At 37.1% G+C, this 18,288-nt stretch overlaps 2 annotated features.

Annotated features, from left to right (window-relative positions):
* Positions 249-842: an enhancer, noted in NCBI's record as "NANOG hESC enhancer chr4:43132135-43132728 (GRCh37/hg19 assembly coordinates)". NCBI's record gives its function as "activates a minimal SCP1, AML or CMV promoter by ChIP-STARR-seq in primed H9 embryonic stem cells {active_cell/tissue: H9 hESC(primed)}" and the evidence as "EXISTENCE:reporter gene assay evidence [ECO:0000049][PMID:30033119]".
* Positions 17,323-17,824: an enhancer, noted in NCBI's record as "NANOG hESC enhancer chr4:43115153-43115654 (GRCh37/hg19 assembly coordinates)". NCBI's record gives its function as "activates a minimal SCP1, AML or CMV promoter by ChIP-STARR-seq in primed H9 embryonic stem cells {active_cell/tissue: H9 hESC(primed)}" and the evidence as "EXISTENCE:reporter gene assay evidence [ECO:0000049][PMID:30033119]".

The following is an 18,288-nucleotide window of genomic DNA, read 5'->3' as shown; positions in this document are numbered from 1 at the left end:
GGAGTACCTGGCATTTCAGGCACCTGCCATCATGCCTAGCTAATTTTTCTATTTTTGTAGAGACAGATTTCACCATGTTGGCCAGGCCGATTTCGAACTTCTGACCTCAGGTGATCTACCCACCTCAGCCTCTCGTAGCACTGGGATTACAGGCGTGAGCCACTGCACCTGGCCGGGAAATTGACTTTTAAAAGATTCTCAGATAAGAATTTACATGAAATCACTTCCACTTTGCTTTTCATATTGAGTTTGGTTACCATAATAAAAAAAAATAGGCATACCACCTGGATTTGATCTATTTTGAAAAAAAGTGCTTTACATTATTTTGCATTTTCAAAGAATAATTACGCCAGACAGAGTTTGACAGGCAAGGAAGACTTTACCCAAGACTATTGTAAAAGGGGAGAGAGATTGAATTCTATTCCACTGAAACAAAAGATGGGTGGGTTTTTAATCATGGGGGGTCGCCAGCAGCAAAGTGCTGGAGGACATTAGCAGAGAGGTTGCTCAATGTGATTAGGCTCAAGGTGTTTGTTTATGAAGGTCTTACCCTACCACAGAGACTGGAAGATAGGGAAGCTGTTCCTCTTGATGACTACATCTCAATGGGATAGATTCTAGGTCTTCGAGAAAGGTAATTTCTGCGTTGTAAAACAGGCAAGAGGCTAGAGGATAATTTACATACATTTCAAAGGGACAGAGAAAGGATTTACAATTACAAGTTTTCTAAAACAAATTCTCTAAGCAAAAGGAGGTCAGGTGCCTACAGTCAGGAAGAAACCTGTGCAAAGTCTAGTCAAGGTAAGAGGATTAAGGCTGCCTTGGTTAGCATCCAATTATTATATCAGAAGGGTGTTATTTTCTGAATTCACTGGATGTGAAAAAGAAGTAAAAAATCTAGATTTTCTTTACTGATTTATAAACTATCTCTAAAAGTAATCTACAAAGAGAAATTCTTAACCTATAGCTACTTTATTAAAATAATTGAATAACCTCACAATAAGAGGGCTTTGAAAGGCAACACTCAATTGAATATGTTAGTTTTTGTTGGTTAGTCAAAGTCTATTCACCTAGTGTTATAAGAGATTCTATCCTTTGCCATTGGGTAACTCATTTTTTTTTTCTTAAATTTCAGAGATTCTATTTTATTTCTTTACTTTTAAGAAATTCATTTTGAAATTGTATTAGGTATTGCCATAAAATAATTGCACTAAAACCATTGCCACACTATTTTCCATAAAGTGTGGCTGAGCCATTTTACATTCCCACCAACAGTGTACAGAGGTTCACTTTCCTCCACATTCCCACTAGTATTTATCTTTTTTGTAGTGGTTGTTTACAATAACCATCCTAGCAGGTGCAAAGTGACATCTCATTGCAGTTTTGATTTGCATTTCCTTATGATTAGTGATGTTGAGCACCTTTCATAAACCTTTTGGCCATTTGTATGTCTCTATTAGAGAATTACTTATTCACGTATTTGGCCCATTTTTAATCAAGGTATTTGTTGGGTTGTGGGGTCTTTTTGTTTTTTGTTTGTTTTTTGTTTTTGAAATTGAGCTGGAGTTCCTTACATTTTTTGAATATTAACTTTTCATCAGATACATTGTTTAGAAATATTTTCGCTCCATGTATACCTATGTAACAAACCTTCACATTCTGCACATGTATCCCAAAACTTAAAGTATAATTTTAAAAAAAGACAATATAAACATATTTATTATGTTTGTAACACTTTTCTTATCCCATGTTTTAAAAGGCAACTGTATAAGGCAACAATTAAAAACTGTGCTTATTTATTCACAATAGCAAAGGATGTGGAATCAACCTAAATGTCCATCAATGACAGACTGAATAAAGAAAAATGCGGTACATATACACTATGGAATATTATTCAGCCATAAAAAAGACTGAGAGCATGTCTTTTGCAAGAACATGGGCAGAGCCGAAGGCTAACTAATACAGGAACAGAAAACCAAATACCACATGTTCTTACTTGTAAGTGGGGAGTAAATAGTAAGAACTTATGAATATAAAAAAGAAAACAGCAGACACTGGGGTCTGTTTGAGAGATGAGGGTGGGAAGAGGGAGAGGAGCAGAAAATATAACTATTGGGTACTGGGCTTAATACCTGGGTAATGAAATAATATGTGCAACACACCCCCATAACACGTATTTACCTGCTTAACAAACCTTCACATGTACCCTCAAACCTAAACTAAAAGTCAAAAAAATTTAAAAACAGAAATATTTTCTCTCATTCCATAGATTGTCTCTTCATTCTGTTTATTGTTCCCTTTTCTGTATAGTTTTTTAGGTTAATGTTGTATCACGTTTATTTTTGCTTCTGTTGCCTGTGCTTTGATGTCATATCCAAGAAATCATTGCCAATATCAATGTCAAGAAGGCTTTCCCCTATATTTTCGGAAAACAGTATAGAGGCTCCTCAAAAAAATTATATGTAGAATTCCCATATGATCTAGCAATCCCACTTCTGGGTATATATCCAAAATAACTGAAAGCAAAATCTCAAAGAGACATCTGCACTCTCATGTTCTTTGCAGCATTATTAACAATAACCAAGATATAGAAACAATTTAGAATGTCCATTGACAGATAAGTGGATAAAGAAAACACACAATGGAATATTATTCAGCCTTATAAAAGAAAAAAAATCCTACCATATGTGACAGAAAATATTGATGAACCTTGAAGACATTATGATATTATGTGAAATAAGCCAGTCACAGGGCAATACTGTATGATTTCATTTATATAATGTATCTAAAATAGCCAAACTCATAGGCTCAGAGAGTAAATGGTGGTTGTGAGGGACTGAAGAGAGAAGAAAATGTGCAGTTATTGTTCAATGGTATAAAGTTTCACTTATGAAAGATGAATAAGTTGTAGAAATCTGCTGTACAACATAGCATGTATCATTAACAACATTGTATTTTACACTTCAAAATTTGTTGAGAGCAAATCTTAACACAAACAAATAAACAGGAAAACAAAGGAACACAAGGCAACTTTTAGAGGTGATGGATATATTTATTATCTTGGTTGTGGTGATGGTTTCATGGGTGTATGCATATGCTTAAACTCATCAAATTGTATGCATGAAATGTGTACAGTTTTTTTATAACAATTATACCTCAATAAAGCAGTTTTTTTAAAGAAATTGAAAAAAGATTTTTAAAGCAGTATTAAGGAGGAGATGATAATCTCCATATTAAAGAATGTTGTTTAATTAGCCCTGTTTTTGTCTTGGAGATTATGTATCAAATATCTTTTAGATGAACTTATTTATATTCAAAAATAAAATAAGATAATTGCCATAAAATCATTGCAAACAATCATGATACTTCAATGGCATACAATAATAAGTGTTTATTTCTCATGCTTTGCAGGTTCAGTTGATCTATGCTGAGTTCCCTGGCATGACTCAAAATTTTTCATCCTTTTCTTAAGACTGGCAGGCAACCCCAGGCATATCCCTCTTCAGAGGATGACAGAAGAAAGGAGCAATCAGAAACAGACAAGACATCTTGAGCACTACACATACCATTGCTTCTTCCTAACATTGGCTGAAGAAAATCACATGGATGAGCGCCGTGTCAGAGAGGGCACTACAAGTTACATGCCAAAGAGCAGGAATACAAGGAGGAGTGAAGAATTGGGGATATTAATGCAATCTACCATAGATTAAATTATTAAATATTCATTGAAAACTTGCTATATTCACTGAGTAATGTTGAAGAATACTTCCTTTTTCTCTCAAGGAATGCATAGTCTAAGAGAAAACTTTTGAGCAAGTTCAAAAAGGCTTTCAAGGGAAGTATTTTCAACGAGTATTAAAAAACACACTATTCATTGAATAGAAATGTACAAAAAGCATTCCTGGGAACATCATGAACAGAAGCATGTAAGTTAGAAAATATGGGCATATTTAGAAAGGTCCAATTTGAGTGGAATAATGAATACATAAAAAGCAAGAATTTGAAATGCTGTTGGAAGAAAAAAACATTGACTCAGTATCCCTTACTAAATCATCATCTTCATCTCACTCCTTAAATGTTAAAGGACCCTAGGAATTGGTCTTTTCTTTCTCTCTACTCTACTAGATTGATCTGATTTCCACATCCATATTTAAGTAAATGACTCATAAAGCTGAATCTCCAGTCATAACCATTCTCCTTATACATAGAGAACTTCTTGTTCTAACTGGCTTCTAAATATCTCTAACTGAATGCTTTAGAAACACTTCAAAGAGGATGTTTCTAAATGAGTTTCTCTAGTGTTGAAGTGAAGGAAACTCATTTAGAAACATCCTCTTTAAAATATTTTAGAACAACTGGGTCTCCTTAGCTAAAAAATCCTAAGTCATTTTCTAACTTCCTTCTGCTCACAACTCAGCTACATTTAATCATTCATTGAGTCACATCAATTCTGCCTCATAAATGTTCCATGTATCTACCCACTCCTTTCCATTTCCGCATTATTACCTTAGCTAAGACCATCTACATTTCTTGACTGCAAAATTACAATATTCTCCAAACATAACTCCCATTTCTAATCCTTTCATTACCAGAATAATCTATCAAAACTAAATTCTTTGATCATATTATCTCTTTGTATAAAAAAATTTAAAGGCTTTCTCTTATTGCTGTAATTATCTTATTTGGTCATTTATTCATTCCAAAAATGCAACTTTTTTAAAATTTTTCTTATGGATACATAATAGTTGTACATATTTATGGGGTGCATGTGATATTTTGATACAAGCTTATAATGTGTAATGATCAAATCAGGGTAATTGAGGTATCCATCACCTCAAGCAAGTATCATTTATTTGTGTTAGGAATATTCCAATTCCAGTCTTTTAGTGATTTTGAAATATACAATAAATTACTGTAACCATAGTAGCCCTACTGTGTCATTGGACACTAGATCTTATTCTTTTTATCTAACTGCATTTTTCCACCTATTATCCCCTCTTAATACCCCATACCCTTCCCAGCCTCTGGTAACCATCATTCAACTCTCTATCTCCATGAGTTCAATTTTTTTAGCTCCCACTTGTACATCTTGATTTCCTACCATGTGTCAGCCCTGTTTTTGTTAACAAGAATACAGCCCTGAAAAGCACAAGCAAGGCCTCTGCTCTCATGGATCTAACATTCTAGTGGGATAAAAATAATATAACAAGTAGAGAAAAAAAAAATAACATGATATACTCTAAGAGAATAAAAAGCGGTGCTATAAGGGATGTAACAAAACTTATAGGGTAATGGGATAAAGAGGAAACGTGTGAAGTGTCTGTTTTTGAGTCCAATTAGGAAAATAATACTGCTAAGAGTTGATGGTGACAGATTTAGGCTGGTAGCAGGGAAGAGGTGATTAAAGATATATTGAGATCCAAGGTACATTTTGACACAGAAACAACAGGCTTAAATTATGGGTTGGGTGTGAGTGATGAAGAAGAGGAGAATCAAGGATTGGTTTCTTGTATTGGGACAGGAAACTGGGTGAATGGCAGCACCATGAGCTTAGATGGTTAATATATCTGGGAAGCAGTGGTTAAGAATAGAAGAGTCAAGATTTCTAGTTTTACCATGTCTAGTCTGAGATGCCAAAAGTAAGCACGGAATAACTGCTTCAAAGTACAGAAATTAAATCAATTAATTAATAGTTAATGAGCTCTGAAAATTCAAAGTACTATAAATAATTTTTAACACATAAATTATAATGGGAACTTTAAAAAGTATATTAACATGCTTGCCTCTTGCATTTTCACACACATCCTTTTCATTAGTCAGTAGGATGGGGATTACTTTTGACCTGTTATTATTTAAATGTCTCTCACATTTTGACTAAAAAATGTATGGTTATTTAATTAAATCAATAGTACTTAAAGCCATTACAATAGCATGTCTAAAATATATCAGGAGGAATAAGATTCTACAGGTTATGTCAATGTATAGATTAGATTATCTTTTCATGGATTCAAGCAATCATTCAACAAATATTTCTTAAGGACCGCCAATGCCCCAGGTTCTGCTGAGTTCTATGAAAACTAGCCTATGAGCTTCACTGCTCAAAGCTAGAAGAATGGAGGAGGTAAGCAGAGGAATGGGAAAACACTAAGTCCACTTTTTCCATCCCAGAAATTGTGGAAGAGGGATGATAGAAATGATCAGACCCTAAGTATTCTTCTTACCACTTCACTCCACATTTCAGGCTCTCCTTTAACTGTTTTTTTAACCTCTGGATATGTACAGGAATAAGCAGAAAGACAGAGCAGGAGATCTGTTCTCCTGGCATAATAAAAGTAAGGAATGTGAAGGCCATTAGAAGGCCTTATCTGGGCTCAAGATCACATCCAATATGGCGTGAGGGTGACTTGTGAAAGTAGCAACAAGAATCAGATAGGTAAGTGAGTCTGTGCTGGGGCCCTTGGCATTTCTTATCCTGCACTTGGAGTGCTTGGTGAAAGACCCTAGAGAACTAAGCTGACCCACAGACCAGGAAAGTCATGGTTCAGAACAGAAGCTGCTTCAACAGAGACTTCAGGCTTGGGAACAAATGGCCAGAACCACAGTGTCCAGCAGTGGGGCCAATACATCAGTGGTGCTAACTAAGACATGTGTAACTTTCTTACAGACTCAGATGTTTTTAAGGAAATCAATTTCCAGATTCTCAACTTTCATAATTTGTCTTTATAAAAACTTACCTAACTGGGAGCATTCCTGCATCCACAATACCTGTTTTTCACTTTTACAGAAAAGATACAGCCCTCACCCATCCAAATAAACATATAGTTGAAAATATTTATTTTATATATCTCTCTTTTAGTTATTAATCAACCAAAATGTAATAAATACACAGGGCTTCTTTTTTCTTATTTTTATATGTTTTTGTTAAGGTGGACACATAATACTATAATGGAACACTATGTCGTGAGTTGGAATCTTCTGAGTTCAAATGTTGTGAAATAGAGTGGGTGACAACAATTTTTGTTTGACAACTTTTTCTCTTTTATTTCAGGCTATTGTCAAAGAAGGTGTAAAGTCTGAGGTAAAATCTCATAAAAATAAAGCAGAGCATTGGAAATAGATATTGAACCCTAAAAATGCTTTTTTTTGATAATTTGCTTTGTATATTCTAACTACTCATCTCCAGAATTTGTCATTAACTTTTTTTTAAAAAGCAACTTAAAAACAGATACAGTAGCAAAGGCTTATGATATTGGTTCTTCAAACATAACAAATGTTTTGAAAGACTACCATGGCTTTCCTGACACATTGAATAAAATTCACAGGTAAAACTCATATAATTACTGTCAGAGTTGGTATTTAGAATTCAATATGATAATTAAAACCAATAATCTCAAGTGAAATCATGAAACATTTACTCCTTTTATTTTTAATTATCGTACAATATACTTACCTTTTTCTTATTACTATGAAAAATTAACATATGCCAACTATCAGTGTCTTAATTTTCAGTACTAGGTATTGTTTCCTTTTATAGAAGACAGAGAAAATTAGATTCTAGCATCTAACAAAGTTAATATGGTTCTTTTCATTTTAAATCATTAATTTTTATTGTATTATTTCCAAACCCAAACAAATGAATTTGCTATATATATACATTTATTAAAGTAACAGCATGCCTATTGTGGGTTGGATTGTGTCCCTGAAAAATATACTGAAATCCTTACCCCCAGTAGCTGTGAATTGAACTTTTTTTGGAAATAGGGCCAGTGTAGATGATCAAGTTAAGATGAGGTCACTTGGTTGGGCCCTAATCCAGTATGACCAGTATAATCCAGTATGACCTGTGTCCTTATAAAAAAGGTAAAATGTGGACACATATACAAACACATATAGAGGAAAGATGATGCGAAAGCACAGGGAAAAGTCCATCTACAGCTATGTAATGCCTAAGGCTACCGGAAGCTAGGGGCAAGCCCTGGAACAGATTCTCCCTCATAGCACTCAGAAGGAATCAGTCCTGCTGGCATCTTGATTTCAGACTTTCAGCCTACAGAACTGAAGACAATACATTTCTCTCTTAAAAGGCTTCTAGTTTGTAATATAAAAAACTAATACAATGCCTTTTATCATATGTCTTATTTTATAAATAACAATTTTCACAAAATATTGTATAATATATGTATAAAAAAATCATATTGATTTATTTTGAATTAATTATATAAGATGCAAATTAATTACATTGCATTTACCACATTTCCACCTTGATTAGGCTGCTTATAATGTATATTTTAAAGTGCTATAATTTTATTTTTTTATTTTTATTTTTATGGGTACATAGTAAGTGTGTATATTTATGGGATACATGAGATTATTTGATACAGGCAAGCAATGTGGAATAAGCACATCATGGAGAATGGGGTATCCATCCCCTCAAGCATCTATCCTTTCAGTTACAAACAATCCAATTACACTATTTAAGTTATTTTAAAATGTACGATTAAGCTATTATTGACTATAGTCACCCTGTTGTGCTGTCTAACAGTAGGTCTTATTGATTTTTTCTAACTACATTTTTGCACCCCTTAATAATCCCCACCTTCCCTGCCCAGTCCCCTACAACCGTTCCCAGCCTCTGGTAACCATCCTTCTACTCTCTCTGTCCATTAGTTCTATTGTTTTGAGTTTTAGATCCCACAAATAACTGAGAACATGCAATTTTTGTGTCTCTGTATCTGGCTTGTTTCACTTAACACAATAATTTCCAGTTCCATCCATGTCATGGCAAATGACTGGATCTCATTCTTTTTTGTGGCTGAATAGTACTCCATGTGTATATGTACCACGTTTTATTAATCCATTCATCTATTGATGAATGCTTACATTGTTTCCAAGTCTTAGCTATTATAAACAGTCCTGCAACAAATATAGGAGAGCAGATATCTCTTTGATATACTGATTTCCTTTCTTTTGGGCATATACACAGCAGTGGGATTGCTGGATCATACAGTAGCTCAGTTTTTAGTTTTTGAGGAACCTCCAAACTGTTCTCCATAGTGGTTGCACTAATTTACAATTCCACCAACAGCATACAAGGGTTCCCTTTTCTCCACATCCTCAGCAGCATTTGTTATTGCCTGTCTTTTAGATGTAAGCCATTTTAACTGGAGTGAGAAGAGATCTCATTGTAGTTTTGATTTGCGTTTCTCCAATGATCAGTATTGTTGAGCACTTTTTCATATGCCTGTTTGCCATTTGCATGTTGATATGGTTTGGCTGTGTCCCCACCAAAATCTCAACTTTAATTGTATCTCCCAGAATTCCCACGTGTTGTGGGAGGGACCCAGGGGGAGGTAATTGAATCATGGGGACCGCCTTTCCCATGCTATTCTCATGGTAGTGAATAAGTCTCATGAGATCTGATGGGTTTATCAGGGGTTTCCACTTTTGCCTCTTCCTCATTTTCTCTTGCTGCCACCATGTAAGAAGAGCCTTTTGCCTCCTGCCATGATTCTGAGGCCTCCCCAGCCATGTGGAACTATAAATTAAACCTCTTTTTCTTCCCAGTCTTGGGTACATCTTTGTCAGCAGCAAGAAAATGGACTAATACAGTAAATTGGTACCAGTAGAGTGGGGCGTTGATGAAAAGATACCTGAAAATGTGGAAGAGACTTTGGAACTGGGTAACAGGCAGAGGTTAGAACAGTTTGGAGGGCTCAGAAGAAGACAGGAAAATGCGGGAAAGTTTGGAACTTACTAGAGACTTGAGTGGCTTTTATGAAAATGCTAATAGTGACATGAACAATAAGGGCCAGGCTGAGATGGTCTGAGATGGAGATGAGCAACTTGTTGGGAACTGGAGCAAAGGCAACTCTTGTTACATTTAGCAAAGAGACTGGCAGCATTTTGCCCCTGCCCTAGAAATCTGTGGAACTTTGAGCTTGAGAGAGATGATTTAGGGTATCTGGCAGAAGAAATTTCTAAGAGCAAACCATTCAAGAGGTTACGTGGGTACTGCTAAAAGCATTCTGTTTTAAAAGGGAAACAGACCATAAAAGTTCAGAAAATTTGTAGGCTAATGATGCGGAAAATTTACAGCCTGATGATATAGAAAAGAAAACCCCATTTTTTGAAGGAGAAATTCAAGCTAGCTGCAGAAATTTGCATAAGCAGCAAGGAACCTAATGTTAATCTCCAAGACAATGGGGAAAATGTCTCCAGGCCATGTCAGAGACCTTCATGGCAGCCCCTTCCATCATAGGCCCGGAGGCCCAGGAGGAAAAAGTGGTTTTGTGAGCCAAGCCCAGGGTCCCTGTGCTGTGTGCAGCCTAGAGACTTGGTGCCCTGTGTCCCAGCTGCTCTAATCATGGCTGAAGGAAGCCAATGTACAGCTTGGGCTGTGGCTTCAGAGGGCAGAAGCCCGAAGCCTTCACAGCTTCCACATGGTGTTGAGCCTGCAGGTGCACAGAAGTCAAGAATTGAGGTTTGGGAATGTCTGCCTAGATTTCAGAAGATGTATGGAAAGGCTTACATGCTCAGGTAGAAGTTTGCTTCAAGGGAAGGGCACTCATGGAAAACCTCTGCTAGGGCAGTGGGGAAGGGAAATGTGGGGTCAGAGCCTTCACACAGAGTCCCTACTGGGCCACTGCCTAGTAGAGCTGTGAAGATGGCCACCATCCCCCAGACCCCAGAATGGTAGATCTATCAATGGCTTGCACCGTTCACCTGGAAAGCCAAAGACACTCAATGCCAGCCCATGAAAGCAGCTGGAAGAGAGGATGTACCCTGCAAAACCACAGGGCCTGAGCTGCCCAAGACCATGGGAACCCACCTCTTGTATCAGTGTGACCTGGATGTGAGACCTGGAGTCAAAGGAGATCATTTTAGAGCTTTAAAATTTGACTGCCCAGCTGGATTTCAGGCTTGCTCGGGCCCTGTAACCCCTTGTTTTGGCCAATTTCTCCCATTTGGAATGGCTATATTTACCTAATACCTGTACTCCCATTGTATCTAGGAAGTAACTAGCATGCTTTTGATTTTATAGGCTTATATGCAGAAGAGACTTGCCTTGTCTCAGATGAGACTTTGGACTGTGACCTTTTGGGTTAATGCTGACATGAGTTAAGACTTTAAGGGACTGTTGGGAAGGCATGATTGGTTTTGAAATGTGAGGACATGAGATTTGGAGAGGCCTGGGTGGAATGATATGGTTTTGCTGTGTCTCCACTGAAATCTCAACTTGAATTGTATCTCCCAGAATTCCCATGTGTTGTGGGAGGGATCCAGGGGGAGGTAATTGAATCGTGGGGGCTGGTCTTTCCTGTGCTATTCTCATGATAGTGAGTAAATCTCACATGATCTTATGAGTTTATCAGGGGTTTCCACTTTTGAGTCTTCCTCATTTCTCTTGCTGCCACCATGTAAGGAGAGCCTTTCACCTCCCACTATGATTCTGAGGCCTCTCCAGCCATGTGGAACTGTAAGTCCAACTGAACCTTTTTTTTTGATCCCAGTTTTGGGTATGTCTTGAAACTCTCATGTCCAGCAGCATGAAAACTGCTAGGGGTATGTCTTGAAACTTTCGTCTCCAGCAGCATGAAAACAGACTAGTATACATGTCTTCTTTTGAGATATGTCCATTCAAATCTTTTGCCCATTTTATGATCAGATTTCTAAATTTTTTGTAGTTCTACATAAGCTTTATGATTTTTTTCCACTTCTGTGAAGAATGTCATTGATATTTTAATAGGGACTGTATTGAATCTGTAAATTGTTTTGGGTAGTATGGATGCTTCAACTACATTGATTCTTCCAATCCATGACCATGGAATTTGTTTTTTGGTTTTGTTTTTGTGTTTGGTGTCCTCTTCAATTTCTTTCAGAGTTTGTATTGGAGAGATCTTTCACTTATTTAGTTGTTAATTCCTAGGTATTTAATTGTATGTTGGCTATTGTAAATGGGATTACTTTTTTATAGTTTGTATTGTAGAGACATTGTTCACTGTGGAATGTAGAAATGCCACTAATTTTTGTATGTTGATTTTGTATTCTACAACTTTAATGATTTTGTTCATTAGTTCTAATAGTTTTCTTGTGGAATCTTTAGGTTTATCAAAATACAAGATCATATCATCTACAAACAAGGATAACTTTACTTCTTCATTTCCAATTTGGATTCCCTTTATAACATTATCATGCCTGATGGCTCTAGCGAGGACTTCCAGTACGATGTTGAATAACAGTGGTGACAGTGGGCATCCTTCTCGTGTTCCAGATACTAGAGGAAAGGCTTTCAGTTTTTCCCCATTTGGTCTGTTGAATATGGCTTTCATTATGTTGAGGTAAGTTCCTTCTATATCCAGTATTTTTTGTTGTTGTTTTTGTTTGCTTGTTTTCTTTTTTGTTTTGAGATGGAGTCTCACTCTGTCGCCCAGGCTGAAGTGCAGTGGCATGATCTTGGCTCACTACAGCCCTCGCCTCCCAGGTTCCAGCGATTCTCCTGTGTTAGCCTCCCAGGTAGCTGAGATTACAGGCATGTGCCACCATGCCCAGCTAATTTATATCCAGTTTTTTGAGGGTTTTTATCCTGAAGAAATGTTGGATTTTATTGAATGCTTTTTCAGCATCAGTTGAAAAGATCATATGGCTTTCATCCTTCATTCTGTTAATATAATGTCATATTGATTGATTTACATATGATGAACCTTCCTTCCATCTCAGGGATAAATCCCATTTCATCATGATGAATAAACTTTCTAATGTATTGTTGAATTTGGTTTGCTAGTATTTTGTTGAGAATGTTTGAATCAATATTCGTCAGAGATATTGGCCTGTAATTTTCTTTATTTGATAAATCTTTGTCTTGTTTTGGTATCAGGGTAATACTGAACTTGTAGAATCAGTTTGGCAGTATTCTCTTCCCATTTTTTTGGGAGAGTTTGCGTAGTACTGATATTAGTAGTTCTTAAATGTTTGGTGGGATTCGGCTGTGAAGCCATCAGGTCCCAGCCTTTTCTTTACTGGGAGAATTTTTATTATGGCTTTGAACTCATTACTTGTTATTGGTCTGCTCAGATTTTACATTTCTTCCTGGTTCAATTTTGGTAAGTAGTATATATCTTGGAATTTGTCCATTTCTTCTAGATTTTCAAATTTATTGGCACACAATTGCTCATAGTAGCCACTAGTGATCATATAAATTTCAGCAGTATTATTTGTAATGTCTTTTTTTTTCATTTCTGATACTATTTCTTTTGATCATCTCCCTTTTTTCTTAGTTGGGCTAAAGGTTTGTCAATTCTGTTTAACTTTTCAAAAGAACAACTTTTTGCTTCATTGATCTTTTGTATTTTTTATCTCAATTTCATTCCTTTCTGTTTTGATATTTATTATTTATTTTCTTCTACTAATTTGGGATTTGGTTTGCTCTTGCTTTTCTAGTTCCTTAAGGTACTTTGTTAGATTGTTTACTTAAAGTTTTTTTCTCTTGTTTGATGTAGGCACATTTAGCTATAAACTTCCCTGTTAGTACTGTTTTTGATATATCCCATAAGTTTTGGTATGTTGTGTTTCCAATTATCATATGTTTCAAGAAATTTTTCAATTTCCTTCTGAATTTCTTCATTGACCTACTGGTCATTCAAGAGCATATTGTTTAACTTTCATTTATTTGTATAGTTTCCAAAGTTCCTCTTGTTATTAATTTCTAGTTTTATTCCACTGTGGCCAGAGAGGATGCATTGTATTATTTCAATTTCTTTGAATGTTTGAGACCCGTATTGTGACTAACATATAGTCTGTCATTGAGAATGATCTACGTGCTGAAGAAAAGAATATGTATTCTGCAGCTCTTGGAGGAAATGATCCATTTGGTCTATAGTGCAGATTAAGTTTGAGGCTTTTGTCTGATTTTCTGCGCAAATGGGGTTTTGAACTCTCCAGCTATTATTGTATTCAGGCCTATATCTCTCTTTAACTCCAATAATATATTCTTTATATATCTGGGTGCTCCAGTGTTGGGTGCATATATATTTTAAATTATTATCTCCTTTTGCTGAATTGACCCTTTATCATTATATAGTTACCTTTGACCTTTTCTTTTCTTACAGTTTTTGTCTTGAAATCTATTTTGTCTGATATAAGTGTAGTGACTCCTGCTCTTTTTTGGTTTCCATTGTCATGAAATGTCTTTTTCCATTCCTTTGTTTTCATTCTATGTGTGTCTTTATAGGTAAAGTGTGTTTCCTGTAGGCATCACATCAACTGGTCTTGTTTTTTCATCCTTTCAGCCAGTCTAAGTCTTTTAATTGGAGAGTTTAGACCCTTTACATTCAATGTTGTTACTGGCAGGTAACGACTTACTCCTGCCATTTTGTTACTTGTTTTCTGGTTGTTTTGTGGTTTTCTCCATCTTTTTTCTTTCCTTTCTGTCTCCCCTAGTGAAGATAATTTTCTCTGTGACATGGTTTAGCTTCCTGCTTTTTATTTTTTGTGTATTCATTGCATGTTTATTGGTTTGAAGTTACCATGAGTCTTACAAATACTATCTTGTAACCTGTTTTTTTAACCTGATAACAACTCAACACTATTTGCATAAACAAACAAGCAAAAATAAAACTAAAAAAACTCGCCTTAGCTTCATTCCCCCACTTTTTAACATTTTGTTTTTTCTACTTATATCTTATTTTATTGACTATGTCTTGAAAGGTTGTTGTAGTTACTATTTTTGATTGATTAATCATTCAGTCTTTCTACTTGGGATAAGCTAAGTTACATACCACAATTGCAGTGTTATAATATTCTGTGTTTTTCTGTGTACTTACTATTACCAGTGAGTTTTGTACCATCTGGTGGTTATTTACTGCTCTTTAATGTCCTTTTCTTTCTGATTGAAGTACTCCCTTTAGCACTTCTTGTAGGACAGGTCTGGTATTGATGAAATCCCTCAGCTTTTGCTTGTCTCACAGAGTCTTTATTTTACCTTCATGTTTTAAGGGTGTTTTGTTTTGTTTTGTTTTGTTTTGTTTTGTTTTGTTTTTGGATATACTATTCTAGAGTAAAAGTTTTCTTCCTTCAACACTTTAAATATATCGTGCCAGTCTCTCCTGGCCTGTAAGGTTTCCACTGAAAAGTCTGCTGCCGGATGTATTGGAGCTCCATTGTATGTTATTTCTTTCTTTTCTCTTGCTGCTTTTAGGATCCTTTTTTATCCTGGACCTTTGAGAGTTTAATTATATGAATGCCTTGAGGTAGTCTTCTTTGGGTTAAATCTGCTTGGTGTTCTATAACCTTCTTGTACTTGTATATTTATGTGTTTCTCTGGGTTTGGGAAGTTCTCTGTTATTATCCCTTTGAATAAACTTTCTGCCCCTCTCTCTTTCTCTATCTCCTCTTTAAGACCAGTAACTCTTAGATTTCCCCTTTTGAGGCCATTTCCTATATCGTGTAGGCACCCTTTTTTGTTCATTTTTCTTTTGTCTTCTCTGTGTGTTTTCAAATAGCCTGTTTTCAAACTCACTAATTCTTTCTTCTGCTTAATTAATTCTGCTGTTTAAGGACTCTGATACATTCTTCAGTATGCCAATTGCTTTTTTTCCTCTCCAGAATCTTTGCTTGACTCTTTTTAATTATTTAAACCTGTCTGTGAAATTTATGTGATAGAATTCTGAATTCCTTCTCTGTGTTATCTTGAATTTCTTTGAGTTTCCTCAACATAGGTATTTTGATTCTCTGTCTGAAAGTTCACATATTTCTGTTTCTTCAGGATTGGTCCCTGGTGCCTTATTTAATTCATTTGGTGAGGTCATGTTTTCCTCAATGGTGTTTATGCTAATAGATGTTCTTTGGTGTCTTGGCACTGAAGAGTGAGATATCTATTGTGGTTTTCACTGTCTAAGCTTGTTTGTAGCCATCTTTTTTGGGAAGACTCTCCAGATATTTGAAAGGACTTGGGTATGGGAATGTAAGCTATGTCTGCCTTAGGGGGCACCCCGAGCCCAGTAATGCTGTAGTTCTTGCAGATTTGTATAGGTACCACTTTGATTATCTTGGATGAGATCTGGGAGAATTCTGAGTTATCAGGCAGAGACTTTTTTTTTTTTTTTTTTTTTTTTTTTTTGTGAGACAGAGTCTCGCTCTGTCGCCCAGGCTGGAGTGCGGTGGCACGGTCTTGGCTCACTGGAAGCTCTGCCAGGCGGAGACTTTTATTCTCTTCTCTTACTTTTTCCCAAACACACAGTGTGTGTTTTTATTTATTCTGAGCCATCTAAAGCTGAGATGGAGTGTCACAAGCACCCCTGTGGCCAACACAACTATGACTGTGCTGGGTCAGACCTAAAACCAGCACAGCACTGGGTCTCATGAACGCCTTCTGTAACCACTCTCTGGCTACTGCCTACCTCACTCAAGGCCTTAGTGCTCCACAATAAACAGGTGGCATAGCCATTCAGGCCTGTGTCTTTCCCCTCAGGGCAGCAAGGTCCCACATGTCCCAGATGGGTCCAGAAGTGCCATCCTAGAGTCAGGGACTAGAGTCAAAACCTTTGAAGTCTACCTCCTGTTCTGTTGTATTGCAGATGACCTGGCTCAAACCACCAGATGCAGTCCTTCCCCTACTTTGCTCCCCTTTCCAAAGGCAGAGGAGACTCACCCGGTAGCCCAGGCTATGAGGAGAACTGCCAGACCTCTTAAGTCAGCTTGCTGTGAATGTTGCCTGGCCTGGGACTCACCTTGCAGGGCAGTGGGCTCCCCTCTGGCCCAGGACAGGTCCAGAAATGCTGTCCAAGTGTCAAGTCCTAGAATCAGGGGCCCCAAGAGCCCACTCAGTGCTCTACCCCTCTGTGACCATGCTGATACCTAAGGTGCAAGACGAAGTCCCTTTTACTTTTCCCTCTACTTTTCTCAAGCAGAAGGAGTTTTGCCCCATAGCTACCACAGCTGTTAATGTGCTGAGTCTCATCTGAAGCCAGCAAGTCTCAGTGGCTCATCCGCAGCCCTTGATGTAGTACCTGGGAATTGCTGCTGTTTATTCAGGGCCCAGTTAACAGGTGATGAACTCTGCCAGGACTTGGTCCTTTACTCTAAGGCCCTTCTGGCCCAGTTTGTCAAGAAAAGTCTTCTTCTAGGGCCTGGAGTGGGGGCCCCAAGACTCTGATTGGTGCCCTATCCTGCTGTGGCTGAGCTGGTATCCTAGATGCAAGACAAAGTCCTTCCCACTCTCCCTTTTCCTCTCCTCAAGCAGGAGAAAGGGGGTTTGTTTTGGATCTGCGAGCTGTGCAGCCTAGGTTTAGGGGAGGGGTGATGTCAGCACTCTCTTGGCTGCCCCATGTACTACCTCAGTATGTTGAGTGCCCCCTCAATCCCTTATCTCCAGACCTAGTTTAGCACCAGGACTTGTCTAAGAGTTGCAGTCCTTGTGGCCTAGACTGCCTTTCAAGTTTATATGAAGACTCAGATCACTGTAGCCCTCAGTGGCAAGGATTGCAGGCACTCAAATTTGACCTCTGAGAACAGTGATTGCCCTCTGGCTAGGGCTGCTTTAAATACTGCCTCCATGGGCAGGCATCAGCTCAGTTTGAGCCGGTTTTCCTTTCTGCTGTAACAGCAGAGCACTGAGTTCAATGTCTCACAATTGCTGTGTTTCCCTCCCCCGCCCCCAGCTCACAGGTAAGCTCTCCTCACCCAACTTCTGCTGCTGGGGATAGGGAAGGACTGGCGTCTGTGATTCAGGACTGCTTTTTCTCTGTTTTCAGTGCCTCTTTCAGCAGTATGAAGTTAAAACTATGAATGCTCACCTGCTTTGTGGTTCTTATGAGGGTGTTTTATCTGCATAGATAGTTGTTAACTTGGTGTCTTTGCAGGGTAGACAATCAGTGGAGCTTTCTATTCTGCCAGTTTGCTTTACCTCTCTGCTTGTACTATATTATTATTAGTTGTATCCAATAATTATTTCTCAGGATTTTAAAATATGTTTTCAAGTGCATATTAATATACTTCTCTTTATTGAAAACAGAATCAGATTTCATCTAATAAAAAGTCTGATTGCAATGGTTGGTTTGACAGTGAGGACAGCTTTGCTCATTCAGTTTTATGGTAGATATTTTCCATACATTAGATGAGGTAGCTCTGTAGTTCCAAGAGTTTGGTAAATTTATTGAAAACGTAGTGTAAGATAGAAGTATTTTGTCAAAATACACAGTAATTCCACTGTATTGGGAATATATGGTAAAAATAACTGTATATTAATTTTCTCAACTCTTTGTGACTAAAATAATATTTTAATATAACTTATTT

The sequence above is a fragment of the Homo sapiens genome, chromosome 4, assembly GCF_000001405.40.
Source record: "Homo sapiens chromosome 4, GRCh38.p14 Primary Assembly".
NCBI classification, from domain to species: Eukaryota; Metazoa; Chordata; class Mammalia; order Primates; family Hominidae; genus Homo; species Homo sapiens.
This window is presented reverse-complemented; position numbering and strand designations above follow the sequence as displayed.